Source organism: Homo sapiens, chromosome 13 (assembly GCF_000001405.40).
Source record: "Homo sapiens chromosome 13, GRCh38.p14 Primary Assembly".
Classification (NCBI taxonomy): domain Eukaryota; kingdom Metazoa; phylum Chordata; class Mammalia; order Primates; family Hominidae; genus Homo; species Homo sapiens.
Window position 1 is genome coordinate 19,475,713 of NC_000013.11, and position 16,078 is coordinate 19,491,790.

Genomic DNA, 16,078 nt, shown 5'->3' on the forward strand with positions numbered 1-16,078 from the left:
TAAAAGAAAATTATTCAGAAGTTGTATAACAAAATGCTTTTTACTAATAGCTAAAATTTTATTCTTCCTGCTCCATGAGTATTTTACTTGTTTACTATGCTATCCAGAAGACAGTAAACTTTGGATGTTTAGTAACATTTCCATTGCATGCAAAGCCCCAACCCCAACTTTATGGCAATACTAAACTTAAACTTGTGGTCATCAACTCAAGGAGTATAGCATGAAGACAGAAAAGGTTGGTAGAAGAGAACCGTATTTTAATGCCAGCCTGGGCAAATCATCAAACTTTGGCCAGATCTCAGTTTCCACTGCAATAAAATAAGGTGTTTCAGGAATGAGCATAGGGAGAGTAAATGATGCTCTTGTCATCTCCTCAAACTAGACACCTAGTGAACAGATACACATGAGCAAGAGTCACATATGAGGTTGCAAATGAACTTCAGAGGTAAGACATTTTAGTAAGATATACTTCAAAGGACAAACACCCGAAAGACTGGGCTCCTTCCATTAATCAAAGGAAGGAGAACCTGTTTGATAGAGCCTCCAATAATGCCTCATTTTACCTTATGGCTGGAGACAAAGTAGCTGATGAGGAACAATTTTTTTTGTCCTACTGAAGCCTCCTGTGTTGGAGGCTCTTCAGGAGGAGAAGCCTCCAACACAGGAGACTTCAGTAGGAGAAGTCTTCAGGAAGTTTCTGTCATACTGAAGCCTCCAACACAGGACTCAAATTCCACCCCGAGAGCCATTAATCCTAAGACAATGCTCACAGCCTGTGCCTAAGACTGGAGAACAAAGAGGGCAGATACTGAGCAGAACTGGGGCACTGACAATTGGCCTTTGACATGAACAGACATTTCTCAAAAGAAGACATGCATGTGGCCAACAAGCATACGAAGAAAAGCTCAATATCACAGATTTTAGAGAAATGCAAATCAAAACCACAATGAGATACCATTTCACACCAGTCAGAATGGCTATTACTAAAAAGTCAAAAAATAACAGATGCAGGCAAGGTTGCAGAGAAAAGGGAACACTTATACATTGTTGGTGGGAGTGTAAATTAGTTCAACCACTGTAAAAAGCAGTATAGCAATACCTTGAAGAGCTAAAAGCAGAACTATTTGACTGAGCAATCCCATTACTGAGTAGATACCCAGAGGAATATAAATCATTCTACTATAAAGATACATGCATATGAATGTTCACTGCAGCACTATTTACAATAGCAAAGACATGGAATCAACCTAGGTACCCATCAATGACAGACTGGATAAAGAAAATGTGGTACATATATACCATGGAATACTATGCAGCCATAAAAAAAGAATGAGATCATGTATTTTGTGGGAACATGGATGGATCTGGAGGCTCTTATCCTTAGCAAACTAGTGCAGAAACAGAAAACCAAATACTGAATGTTCTCACCTATCAGTGGTAGCTAAATCATAAGGACGGATGAACACAAAGAAGGAAATAGACACTGGGGTCTACTTAAGTGGGGAGGGTAGGAGGAGAGAGAGGAGCAGAAAAGATAACTATTTGAGTACTGAGTTTAATACCTGGATGATGAAATAATATGTTAAAAAAAAAAAACCTCCCTGACACAAGTTTACCTACATAACAAACCCCACGTGTACCTCCAAACCTAAAATAAAAGTTAAAAAAAATAAAATTGGCCTTTGATGAATGATGTTAGGTTAACCTGAGATAAAGGAAATCCCCAATCCGTCTAATCTTCCCCTCTCCACCTGGACCCACCACCTCCGCCCAGGCTTGGAGAGTTAAGGCTGATGTAGATGGAGGATCAATTGGCCAAAAGAGGTGAATTCTCTCCTCAAGTTGCCATGCCCTTACTACAAGAACCTCTGATCCCACACAGTCTACTGGATCTCCAGGTATCAAGGAAATGTCATAAATCTGAACTCACTTGACAATGTCACCATACAGAACCAAGTCTGACAGATTATGAAGGCATGAAGAAGTGGCTTGGGTGGCTTTAGCCCCTTAATCTGTTTCAGTGTTCCCTGAAACTATACCAAGTAAATACACAATTGAGACTTTTTTGGTTAAAAAAAGTGTACTATGTAAATGCAGCTTCAAGCAGTTATGTGCAGAGTTTGCAGGGAAATAACTATGACTCAGTAAATCCATATCCAGGAAAAGTACTGTTCACACTCGGGAGCAACAGACAGACACTCCAACATGAAGCAACACGAAGCATAGCCTCCATGTACCTTTCCTAAAAACAATTACTCAAAGTGCTTGAGTCAGCTGAGCAATGAATCAAAATGAAGAACACAGAAATAAGGAAGATGACTTACAGAGAAAAGATGGTAAATAATATAAACTCAAAATTAGGTAAGTCTAAATAATAATTGTTAATGTAGCATAAAAATGTAGCAGGTGAACAAAAGCAATGGCAACAAAAGCCAAAATTGACAAACAGGATCTAATTAAACTAAAGAGCTTCTGCACAGCAAAAGAAACTACCATCAGAGTGAACAGGCAACCTACAGAATGGGAGAAAATTTTTGCAATCTACTCATCTGACAAAGGGCTAATATCCAGAATCTACAAAGAACTCAAACAAATTTACAAGAAAAAAACAAACAACCCCATCAAAAAGTGGGCAAAGGATATGAACAGACACTTCTCAAAAGAAGACATTTATGCAGCCAACAGACACATGAAAAATTGCTCACCATCACTGGCCATCAGAGAAATGCAAATCAAAACCACAATGACATACCATCTCACACCAGTTAGAATGGCGATAATTAAAAAGTCAAGAAACAACAGGTGCTGGAGAGGATGTGGAGAAATTGAACACTTTTACACTGTTGGTGGGACTGTAAACTAGTTCAACCATTGTGGAAGACAGTGTGGTGATTCCTCAAGGATCTAAAACTAGAAATACCATTTGACCCAGCCATCCCATTACTGGGTATATACCCAAAGGATTATAAATCATGCTGCTATAAAGACACATGCACATGTATGTTTATTGTGGCACTATTCACAATAGCAAAGACTTGGAACCAAGCCAAATGTCCAACAATGATAGACTGGATTAAGAAAATGTGGCACATATACACCATGGAATACTATGCAGCCATAAAAAAGGATGAGTTCATGTCCTTTGTAGGGACATGGATGAAGCTGGAAACCATCATTCTCGCAAACTATCGCAAGGTCAGAAAACCAAACACTGCATGTTCTCACTCATAGGTGGGAATTGAACAATGAGAACCCTTGGACAAAGGAAGGGGAACATCACACACCGGGGCCTGTCATGGGGTGGGGGGATTGGGGAGGGATAGCATTAGGAGATACACCTAATGTAAATGACGAATTAATGGGTACAGCACACCAACATGGCACATGCATAAATATGTAACAAACCTGCACATTGTGCACATGTACCCTAGAACTTAAAGTATAATAATAAAAAAATGTAGCAGGTGAAAATGTAAATAAATGATTCTAAAAGTAAAGATAAATAATATAAAATCATGAATAATAGTATTGATTTGAATTTTTAGGCATTCTTACACTAGGATTCAAGGTGTGGAAGAAGACAGAAGTAAAGGCAGGTTGCATTTCTTATCTTTCACAGGTACATCTCGATATTGATGGAAAAAATGGTATAATTATGTTTTCTAAGCATTTAAATATAAACATTGATAGACTAGAAATGGGCTTCTGACTTGCATATCAATAAAAAATGCAAGGGATAAAAACAAATCAATTAATAGCAAAATATAGACAAATTTACAAAGAAAATATCAAAGTATTTTTAATAAAGAAAAAGATGATAAATAAAACCAAACATACCAGAAATCATAAATACAAACATATTACTCTCATATTGCATATTGAGAAATACTCTCAGATAACTTTGAAATTAAAGGCATTACATGTGACAAAAACTAAATTTAAATGACAATTCAAAAATAAAGAGATAGAGGCCAGGCGCGGTGGCTCACGCCTGTAATCCCAGCACTTTGGGTGGCCAAGGTGGGCGGATCATGAGGTCAAGAGATTGAGACCATCCTGGCCAACATGGTGAAACTCCATCTCTACTAAAAATACAAAAAATTAGCTGGGCGTGGTGGTGCGTGACTGTAGTCCCAGCTACTCAGGAGGCTGAGGCAGGAGAATCGCTTGAACCTGGGAGGCCAAGGTTGCAGTGAGCTGAGTGGTGTCACTGCACTCCAGCCTGGTGACAGAGCGAGACTCCGGCTCAAAAAAAAAAAAAAGAGATAGAAAAAGATATGAGATACTAAACCTTAAAACACTAAAAGTTCCAATATTAATATCAAAGTTGAATTAAAAGCACAAATATTAACTATGAACATGACTCATTTTTTATCAATAGAAGGTGGAAGCTACATGACACTAACAAGACCATGTTTAATGAAATGGGATTTGTATTGAAGGCAGGTGCTATCTCTCCCACTGGACACGTTTTTCTCTGGTACAGACTCTGGGGGTAGGGAGGTGGCCATGATGTAAAGCATGAAAAACACTGTAGTGACTCTGGTCTTCCTGCTCACTCTAGATCACTAAAACAGGGTAAGGACAATATAGGGGGATGACATTTTCATGCTGAGAAAACTATGAGTCACTTAGGAGAAAAGTAAATTTCTACACTTTATACCTTAAGACAAAGTAAATTCAGGGCAGATATTTTATTTAAATGAAGAAAATAAATTCAAAACAGAAATTTTGGTGAATATATTTAAAATCTTGGGGTAAGAAGGACTTTCTGAGAATAACATTAAAGGCAAAATCACAAAGAAAGGAACAGATACATTTGATTACATGAGGATTAAATGCTTTTATATAGTGAAAAGCAAGACAACCTGGGAGAAATTGCTTATATTACATAAAATAGAAAAAGGATCAATAGATTTAACTTTTCAGTCCAAAGACAGAAAAGGATAAATGAAGGTGTGTCAAAGAATGTGCATTAGAACAAATATATTTACTAATATCAGAGAAATCAATGATGGCTAGTGTTAAGTGTGGGGGGGAGAAATGTACACTTTGCATCTTGATGTTAAAGCACATATCAATATCAATAGCGTCACAATCATTCCCTTTGACACAGAATTTCCACTTCTGAGAATTTATAACAAGCAAATAACCAACAATATAGACATTTAGCCTCAAATATATTCATTTTTGTAACAGTTAAAAACTTGTAAAAAACTTAATTGTTCAGCAATATCTGACTATTAAATGAATTATAGCTCATCTACACCATGAAATATTACACAACTGTTGCAAATAATGTTGTAAGTGCACATGAATATATATTAACAAAAAAATATAGTCATGATGTCATTAAGTAATAAGGTTATTTACAAAAGAATAAGTATGGTCTCATATCTGTAAACAAAAAAGTATATGCCTAAAGAACTTAGAAGTGCATGCATCAAAGTTTAAGAATGACTATATGTGGTTAGATTTGTTGATTGTATTTTCAGATTTTCCTTTAATGAACTCTTACATTATTTTCAGTTTTTAGAATAAAACCTATTTACAGAACTACAGAGTTTTCAAAGTATTTTTGCATGTTATTTTCGTTTTATTACTAATTTTTTACAATACAATATCCAGTACATAGATTGCATCATAGCCAGTTTACATTTGAATAATCTGAAAGTTAAAGAGGGTTAGTGACTTGCTGAGTATCAGGTGAATGAATATATGATGTCAAAGCCAAGCACTGATTCCAGCTTTTACTATAAATCCAATATCATCCCCCTGGTATGAAACACCAGCATTTCTCACAGGGACTACTGCAAATTCCTCCTATATCTATGTAATGAGACTTTGTAATTTAAAAATAAAATAAAATGAAAACCTGCTTTATTTTGTTTGGAGTGGGGAAAGAAGGAAATGCTTGCCTTGCTTAATCTGTCTAATTTTGTTTCGGCCCTGGGCAGCTCCATTACAGAAAACGTATAGCTAATTTGCAGACACACAGTTTAATTCAGTGGCAAATTCAGGGCAATTTGAAAAACTACTTGTATTTGCCCTCTTTGTTTCCAATCTTTGTTTAGACACCAACAGCTTACAACCATGGTGAGTTAACTTCCTCTATGGCAGTACTTCCTCTCCAGCATTGACACAAGCTGGTGAATGGTTATACAACTGGGCAAGAAAGAAGCAGAAGAAAAATCTCCTGAATATGTCTGCAGTTCAGACACAAGCCAGTTTAAGAATGTATTGTTTCATTACAGTGAGTACATGATAAAATGCCTTCAGGTCAGTGCAACAGGAAGTACTCTAGTGAGATTAGAAACAAATAAGAATAAAATCCCAATGAGCATAAAGAGGTCTTTAGTCAGCAAAACATGTTTGCTTTTGCTATCAATACTATTTGCTCATAGGGAAAATCTACAAAATTGGGAATCACACCATATCCAGTAAAAATGAGAAACGTTCACTATTGATGAGTTAAGTAGCATTCTGCATTCCTGTTTTTTAAAAAAAAACTTTTAATGGAATTAATTTCCTCTAAGAATACTTTTTACATTTTCAAGCTAGAAGAACATTTATTTCTGAATGGATGGAATTTTTTTTTCAAAATAATACTTGTCTAAGAATTCAACTGGAGTAAATACGGTGTACCCTCCCACCATACATTTTGATATCTTTCCATAGTTTCCCTTTTTCCTTCTTGCCTTAGCGGAAGCCCTGTTTCACTAAAGGTAAGAGATCCATCAATGGCTCCCTCCTTTCAAACTTCAAACTGACTTACTCATATGAAGCAACATTTTCAGCATCTTCAACTTCAAACTTGGAAAGTCGTTCTAACATACTTTAGCCACCAAAAAAAAATGCAAAAATATATCATTAGATATTTGCTACACAAAATAGTGATGAAAAATATATTTGAATAACAAGAATCCCATGAATCTAAAGGATATAGTAAACATGACTTAGCTCACTGGAAGACCTAATATTTAAGAAAGAAAATTACAATCATTAACCAGAAACTCTTTCCTCATGGATACTCCCAACACTTAATTTTGCATATTTTTATCTTCTTTTCTCTCTCTGTCCCTTTCTATATATATGTATATAAAGATATATAAAAGAATATGTATACAGATATATAATATATAAATAATATAGGTATAGACATATATCAAAGACATTGTGGGTTTCATTCCAGACCACTGCAATAAAGCAAAAACTGCATTAAGCAACTCACACAAATGTTTTGGTTCCCCTGTGCATATAAAAGTTATGTTTACCCTACACTGTAGCCTGTTAAGTTTGCAATGGCATTATGTTCAAAAAACTTATGTACATACTTTAATTAAAAACTACTTTATTGGTTAAAAAATGCTAATGATCACCTAAGCCTTTAGCAAGTCACAGTCTTTTTGCTGGTGGAGGGCGTTGCCTCCATGTTCATGGCTGCTGACTGATCAGAGTGGTGGTTGCCAATGGTTGGAGTGGCTGAGGCAATTTCTTAAAATAGGAAAATGAAGTTTGCTGTGGCAAATGACTCTTCCTTTCACAAGTGAGGATTAAGTGGTGAAGCCATCAGGTCCTGGACTTTGTTGAAAGCCTTTTTATTACTGATTCAATCTCATTACTTGTTTTTGGTTTGTTCAGGTTTTCTATTTCTTCTTGGTTAGTCTTGGTAGGTCGTATGGTCAAGAATTTTGTCCACTTCCTCTAGGTTTTCAAATTTATTGTAGAGTTGCTCATAATAGTCTCTAATAATTCTTTTTATTTCTGTCATATCTGTCATGAGGTCTCTTTTTTTGTTTCTGATTTTACTTATTTGGTTCTTCCCTTTTTCTTAATTAGTCTAGCTAATGGTTTGTTGATATTTTTTAAACCTGCTTTTTGTTGTTAACCTTTTGTAATTTTTGCCTCAAATCTGTTTATTTCTGTTTGGTCTTCATTATTTATTTCCTTTTAACAATTTGGGGTTTGGTTTGTTCTTACTATTCTAGTTTCTTGAGGTAGAATTGTTCAGTGGTTTATTTGAAAGTTTTCTAGATTTTTTGATCCAGGCATTTATTGCTAAAAACATACTTCTTTTTTTTTATACTTTAAGTTCTAGGGTACATGTGCACAATGTGCAGGTTTGTTACATATGTATACATGTGCCATGTTGGTGTGCTGTGCCCATTAACTCGTCATTTACATTAGGTATATCTTCTAATGCTATCCCTCCCCCCTCCCCCTACCCAATCAGGCCCCAGTGTGTGATATCCCCCTTCCCGTGTCCAAGTGTTCTCATTGTTCTATTCCCACCTATGAGTGAGAACATGTGATGTTTGGTGTTTTGTCCTTGCGATAGGTTGCTGAAAAAATGATGAGTTCATGTCCTTTGTAGGGACATGGATGAAGCTAAAAACATACTTCTCAATAACTGCTTTTGCTGTGTCTCCTGTTTTGGTATATTGTGTTTCTAGTTACATTTGTTTCAAGGAATTCTTAAATTTCATTGTTAATTTCTTTCTTCACTCATTGTAACTCAAGGGCATGTTGTTTAATTTCCATATGTCTGTATAGTTTTGAATGTTCCTCTTGTTATGAATGTCTAGTTTTATTCCACTGTGGTAAGATAAGATACCTGATAGAATTTCAATTTTTAAAAATTTGTTGAGACTTGTTTTGTAACCTAACAAATGGTCTATCTTGGATAATGTTTCATGTGCTGATGAAAAGAATGTGTATTCTGCAGCTGTTAGGTGAGATGTTCTGTATATGTTTGTTATTTATGTCCATTTGGTCTATGGTGGAGTTTAAGTCTGATGTTTCTTTGTTGATTTTCTGTCTAGATGATTTGCCCAATGCTGAGAGTGGGATATGGAAGTGCCCAACTCTTATTGTAATGGGGTCTATCTCCCTCTTTAGATCTATTAATATTCACTTTATATATCTAGGTGCTCTGGTGTTTGAGTGCATACATATTTACAATTATACACATATTACAATTATATTTCTTGCTGAATTGAACCCTTTATTATTACAAAATAATCTTGTTTGTCCATTTTTATGGTTTTTAACTTGAACTCTGTTTTGTCTGATACAAGTATAGCTATCCCTGCTCACTTTTGGCTTCCATTTGCATAGAATATCTTTTTGCATCCCTTCATTATCAGTCTATGTGTTTCTTTACCGGTAAGATGAGTTTCTTTTAGATAAAATATAGTTAGGTCTTATTTTTTAATCCACTCAGTAAGTCTATATCCTTCATGGGGTATTTAATCTATTAACATTCAAAGTTATTATTGGTAGGTGAGGAGTTACTTCCAACATTTTATTGTTTTCTGGTTGTTTTGTATATGTTTTATTCCTTTCTTCCTGTTTACTTTTGAAGTTGGGTAGTTTTCTATAGTGATAAGGCTTCATTCCTTTCTCTTTCTCCTTTATGCATTGACTCTAACAGTAACTTTTAAAGTTTTGCATGTTTTTATGATGGTGGTTATCATCTTTTTACTTCCAGATGTAAGACTCCCTTGAGCATTTCTTGTAAGGCTGGTCTAGTGGTGATGAATTATCTTGGTTTTTCTTTATCTATGACAGATTTTATGTCTTCTTCATTTGTAAAGGATAGCTGTGCTGGGTATAATATTCTCAGCTGAAAGTTTTTTTTTTCTTTCAGAACTTCGAATATATCATCCCATTCTCTTCTAGCCTAAGGTTTCTGCTGGGAAATCAGCTGTTAGTCTAATGGGGATTCCATTATAAATGTGTTACTTTTCTCTTGCTATTTTAAAAAATCTTTGTCTTTGATTTTTCACAATTTGACTATAATGTCTGGGTTGAATGTATTTGGGGTTCTTTGATCTTCCTGGAACTAGATGTCTAGCTCTCTCTCAAGAGTTAGGAAGTTTTATGCTCTCATTTTATTAAATATGTTTTCCTCATATTTTCTCTTCACTTTTCCTTCTGGAATGCCCATAATATGAATATTTGATCAAATTAATGGTGTCCCATAAATCCTGTAGGCTTTTTTCATTCTTTTTTATCCTTTTTTGCCTGCCTGTGTTATTTCAAAAGACTTGTCTTCAAGTTCAGAAATTATTTCTTCTGCTTGTTCTTGTCTGTAAAGCCATTGATTGTATTTTTTCATTTCATCCATTGAACTGTTTAGCTCTTAGGGCTTCTGTTTGGTTATTTTTATGATATCTGTATCTTTACTGAATTTCTCTTTCAAATCATGTTTTCCTGATTTCATTGACTTGTCTATCTGTATTACCTTATATCTCACTGAGTTTCCTTAAGATTATTCTTTTTTCTGTCATCTCTTATGTTTATGATTGGGTTCTATTACTGGATAATTATTATTTCCCTTTGTAGATGACATGTTTTCTTGCATTTTCACGGTTGCTGTGTTTCTAAATTGATTTCTATGCATCTGGTGAAAAAGTCACCTTTTCCAATTTTATGGAGTAGGTTTACTTGTATGAATTTATTTCTATGAATAGGTCTCGGATGTCAGTTCATTGGGGTATACTGGCCTTGGTTCTACATGGATGCAGTAAGTGTAGTCTCCATGTAGTTTATTCAGCTGTGATCTACACTAGTAACATTTGCAAGTTACTCAGTGGCCTCGGCTAAGGAAGTTTGTGGTGATGGTGGTGCAGCCTTGCCAGGGGTGGGCTCACTGGGCTGTTTCTCAGGGTAGGGGTGTGTGCAGGCATACACTGGGTCAGAAAACTTGGAGTATGGCCTTATGCGGCTGGCCATGGTGCTGTCACTCTAGCCAGGAGCATGGGGATGCAGTTGCTCAACCAGGGCATGACTGCCAGATGTGCTTTGCAGGACAGTTTCTCAGGCCCAGGACGCAGGCACACAGCTGTTTGCCTGGCCTGGAAGCATGCACTCCAGGAGTGGCCTGAAGGGCTGTTTCCCCTACCTGGTATGTGGGTACACAGCTGCTCATCTGGCCTGCAGCCAGTCTGCTGGGGGAAACTCATGGGCCAAATATACAGCTGCATAGCTCCTAAGCTGGACTGAAGATATCTTTGCCAGGGCTGGCCAAGAGGGGGTGTTTCTCAGGCCTGGGATACAGTCAAATGACTTCTCAGCTGTCCTGGATGTGTTTCTGCTGGGGGTAGTCCATAGAGCTATTCTAGCTCAGGATGTGGGCACACTGCTGCTCAGCTGGCCTGGGTGGTGCCTGCCAGGGGAAGCCCAGGGGACTGCTTCTATAAGCCAGGATGTGGACACGAGGCTGCTCGGCTGGCCTAGGGGCATGTCTTCTGGAAGTAGCCCATGGAGCTCTTTCTTAGGTCCAGGACATGGGCATTCATGGCTGATTGGCTAGTCTGGAGGTGCATCTGCTGGGAATGGATACAGGACTATTTCTCAGGCTCGTGCAAGGTTGCACAGCTGCTTAGTTGGCCTGGGAGTATTTCTGTGGGGGGTGGCCTAAAGGGCTGTTCCTCAAGCTGGGACATAGGTATGTGGCTGCTTAGTTGGCCTGACAGTCTGCTGGCCAGAGTAAGCTCCCAGGGTTCTTTCTCGGCCCTGAGACTTGGGCATACACAGCTGCTTGTCTCTCAGGTCTGAGACACAGGTGCAAGGCCCACTCGGTGGTGTGCCTGCTAGGGGCAGCCTGTGGGACTGTTTCTCAGGCCCTTATCAAAGGCAGAGGGCTCCTGGGCAGGCCAGGAGCATGTCTGTGGTGGATGGGGCCTGCAAGGCTGTTTCTCAGGTCCTGAGCATGGGCTCATAGTCACTCTGTTGACCTGGGGGTGTATCAGCTGCTCAGAGGCTTAGGGGCCTCTCCCACTTGGGAGAGGGCTTGCAGTGGTTTGGCTGTCTTAAGAGTGAGTTTACCCTGGATGGGACTGCAGATTATTCCTCTGTCTGGAAGTGTGGTGGTGGGGGTTGATTTCCCTGCTCTGCATTACTTGAGTTACAGCCAGTCCTGGGACCAACCTCCACACAGCTGGGATTGTGGCTTTAACCCACCCATGTGGGCTTGGTGTACTGAAGATAAAGCTCCAGTGCTGGAGAGGCACAGTGGCTACTGGCCCCCAGAGGAGGGCACACTCAAGAGATGACTCTGGTCTCAAGATGGTGCTGTGTTGCTGCAGCTTAAGTCTCTGGGGGTGGGAAGTCTTCACCTTGTACTCCTAGTCCAGGACATGCAGCTTTGTCAATTCTTGGCAGTACTCCAAACTGGCCTCAGGGCTTGCAAAGACTGTGAGATTCTCCTGTTGTAAAGACTTTGTGTTTGTGATGGCAGTGGGGTGACAGGGATCTTCTGCTTACCTTCACCCTGCAATGAGAAGTCCCTCCTGTCTCTGGGCCAATTCAATCCAGATGGGGCAGAAGGGGCTGCACAGGCTGAGTGCTTCCATGCTGTGGCAACTTCCAGTCACCACAGATGTGTCTGCACTCCTTTGCTGCACTCCAGGACTATGCCTTTGATACTCTAATCAAATCTTAGACGTGTATTTGTTGCCTCGGTTTTTTCTCGTAGGGGAGATGAGCACCAGGCATCTCTATTCACCCATCTTGCTTGATTTAGCATAATTCGTAAGGGCCCTAGGATTTTCGGAATAGTCAATGATTGCTGGCTTCAACTTAAAGTCACCAGCTTCATTAGCCCCTAACAAGAGAATTGGCCTCTGCTTTGAAGATTTGAAAGCATGCGTTGACTTCTCCTCTCTAAATATAAAAGTCCTAGATGGCATCTTCTTCCAATAAAAGACTATCTTGTCTACATTGAAAATCTGTTGTTTAGTTTGGCCACCTTCATCAATTATCTCAGCTAGATCTTCTGGATAACTTGCTGCTGCTTCTGCATCAGCACTTGCTGTTTGCCTTGCACTTTTATGTTATAGAGATGGCTTCTTTCCTTAAACCTCATGAACCAAGCTTTTAGCTTCAAGCTTTTCTTCTGCAGCTTCCTTACCTCTCCCAGGCTTCATTGAATCGAAGAGAGTGAGGGCCTTGTCCTGGATTAGGCTTTGGCTTAAGGGAATGCTGTGGCTGGTTTGATCATTTATCCAGACCACTAAAACATTCTCCAGATTAGCAATCAGACTGTTTTGCTTTCTCATCATTTGTATGTTCAGTGGAGCAGCAGTCTTAATTTTCTTCAAGAAGTTTTTTGGCTTTTCTGTTTTGTTTTGTTTTTGTTTTTGTTTTACATTCACAACTTGGCTGAACTGCTACAAGAAGTCTAGCCTTGCTCACAATCATTTCTAGCTTTTGGTTTAAAGTGAGAGCCATGTGACTCTTCCTTTCACTAGGACACTCAGAGACCATCATAGGCTTATTAAATGGCCTACTTTCAATATTGTTGTGACTCAGGGAATAGGGAGGCCCAAGGAGAAGGAGAAAGATGGGGGAATGGCTAGTCAGTGGAGCAGTCGGAACAAACATGTCATTGATTAGGCTTGTCACCTTAATATGGGCATGGTTCGTGTTGCCCCAAAACAATTACAATAGTAACAACAAAGATCACTGATCACAGATCAGCATAACAGATATGATAATAAAAAGTTTGGAATATTGCAAGAATTATTAAAATGTGACAGAGACACAAGGTGAGAACATGCTGTTGGAAAAATAAAATCAGGAGACTTGCTCAATGCAGGGTTGCTACAAACCTTCAGTTTATAAAAAAGTAATATCTGAGGGGCAATAAAGTAAAGCACAATAAAACAAGATATACCTGCATATACACACACATATATGTATATGTAAACTATATATGTGTATATATACATATATATGCTAAAGGATATATACATATATGTTTACATATATATACACATGCTCATATATATATTAGAGGATATATATATGACTACTGATGTTATTAATTTGGGTCAGTGCTAAAGAATATATCTATACATAGATATGTATATATAGATATATATATACACACATTTAAATATGCACATATGTAGACATATGTATATAGATATGTGTATATCTATATACACAAATACATATTTATATATCTATATATACTACATATATAGCTAAAAGATATATCTGTATATATATATACACACACACATATATACATGTGTGTTATATGTGTGTGTGTGTGTAGATCCTTTAGCACTGACTCAAATTAATAACATCAGTAGTTTTCAGTGACACCACCACTGAAAGGTGAGTTATATCAAAGATATATCAAAGTAGTGAAAGACTACTGATGTCATTTTATCCGGGCCAGTGCTAAGGATTAAAAATGTACACATCAGGTCAAGTGACTTCAGAGACATACTTTTCTGGTTGAAGTTATGTACAATTGCTCTACATTTATAAACTGGTTGAACTCTGAAAATGTATATGTCAATGATTTGGAATCTACTATTAATATATCATTTTTTCCTAGAAGAAAAGCTTATATTATGTAAAGGTGCTCTTGGGCCTTAACAAACAATCTAATGAATCACAACTTAAGTGCAGTTCTTTATTACTTCATTTGTGAGTGAATTTTACCAATCTTAATATATCCCTCTCTTCTTTCTCTCCATATTTTGAAATCTCACCCATCATTGATGACTCTACCACTCATTGCTCTTTTTAATTCAATAGCTAAAGGATTAAAAATGAACATAGCAAGACTCCACATGTTATCCTAGACTTAATTTTCTGATACAAATTAGCAATAATTATTCTACAATTTATAATCTAGTTACCCTGAAAAATGGACATTAATCAGTTATTTCTTTGAAACATGGTGTTTAATTTTTCTCTGGAAATGAGGTTTTAGATGTCTGTAATGGAATTTTTCAGCCTGTGAAAAAAACTTAATGAATCAAGTTTATATACATTTCTTTACTCCTAAACCTCATCCCCAAGTTACTGTTTCTGGCAAAATTTACATAAAATCAACTTCAGTTTGTAAATACCCACCTTGCTTGCCCTTGTAATTTTCTGCCTTCTCAAATACCAACAGTAACTCTTCACCAATCATGGATGTCTTTCCTGCCCCTCAGATAGGGTTAAGTAACTACAGACCCAAGGCAGGGCCTGCATACGATCTGATGGTGGGTTTACCTTTGGGGCAGTAGCCTCATGTGGTAACAGACGAAGAGACCAGGGGTCTATTAGCTTTGCTCTTTTCTGTTGAGAGCTCCTCAGCTCCCTGCCCACTGTTACCTCCTCCTTGCACCAAATAGGACTGTTGCCTCTTTTGGCTCACTCTAGTAGAGTGTCATACACTACACACATTCTCATATTTTCCTAAGGTTTCAGGGTGCTGCTAAATAAGGGTGACCAATGGAATAGGAATAAGAAGCATTCCTCTTAAGACCTATTCCTCTTTTATCCAACTAGATCGAAGAAAGAAAGGTACCTGCAGATACTACAGAAATAAGACTTTAGAAAACAGTGTCTAAAACACTCTGTATTGTTATGGATGCTCCATACAATGAACTTCCCAAATCTGAATCTCTCCTTTCTACATGTATACTTTTGTGTGTGTCTATGTGTGTATTTACATATATATGTTTACATCTAGCTTTTTATTTACTTAAACCTCAAATTTTGTGGAAGGTCCCTTCATGTGTTACTGTTGTCATTTCACTGAAGACAGTGCTGATGGAGTAAAAAGGTACATAGACATATAATGAATTTCTCTTTTTGACACTATTAGCAAATACATTTTTTGCACCAAAAGGAGTAGATTTTCCATAAATATGAAATACATACATATATAATAAGTGAGGGTATGCAAATCCTACCACATAAGCCCAGTAAGTAAAATTCAACAGTTAACAAAGACTCATTTACCAATGGTCAGTTAATCAGAGATTAATTAAATTTATATAAATTAAACCTATGTACATATTAAAAATACATTTTAGCCAGGCGCAGTGGCTCATGACTGTAAACCCAGCAGTTTGGGAGGCTAAGGCGGGTGGATCACGAGGGCAGGAGTTCAAGACCAGCCTGGCCAATATAGTGAAACCCCGCCCCTACCAAAAATACAAAAAATTAGACGGGCATGGTGGCACATGACTGCAGTCCCAGCTACTCAGGAGGCTGAGGCAGGAAAATCGCTTGAACCCGGGAGATGGAGGTTACAGGGAGCCGAGATCGCGCCACTGCA

The 16,078-nt window shown here is 37.8% G+C and overlaps 1 protein-coding gene across 7 annotated transcripts in view; it reads right to left on the reverse strand.

The window, feature by feature from the left end:
- The window catches only part of TPTE2 (transmembrane phosphoinositide 3-phosphatase and tensin homolog 2), a 138,698-nt gene that overhangs the window by 52,836 nt on the left and 69,784 nt on the right, over positions 1-16,078 (reverse strand). For 4 of the 7 annotated variants that reach the window (NR_073485.2, NM_001395978.1, NM_199254.3 and 1 more), the window contains one exon: positions 6,776-6,835. The exons of the other annotated variants lie outside the window; for them this stretch is intronic. Coding sequence is in view for 3 of the 4 variants with exons in the window: in NM_001395978.1 (NP_001382907.1) it covers positions 6,776-6,835 (60 nt within the window). In the remaining variant the exon portion in view is untranslated. The remainder of the gene's footprint in view (positions 1-6,775; positions 6,836-16,078) is intronic. 7 annotated transcript variants of the gene reach the window in all.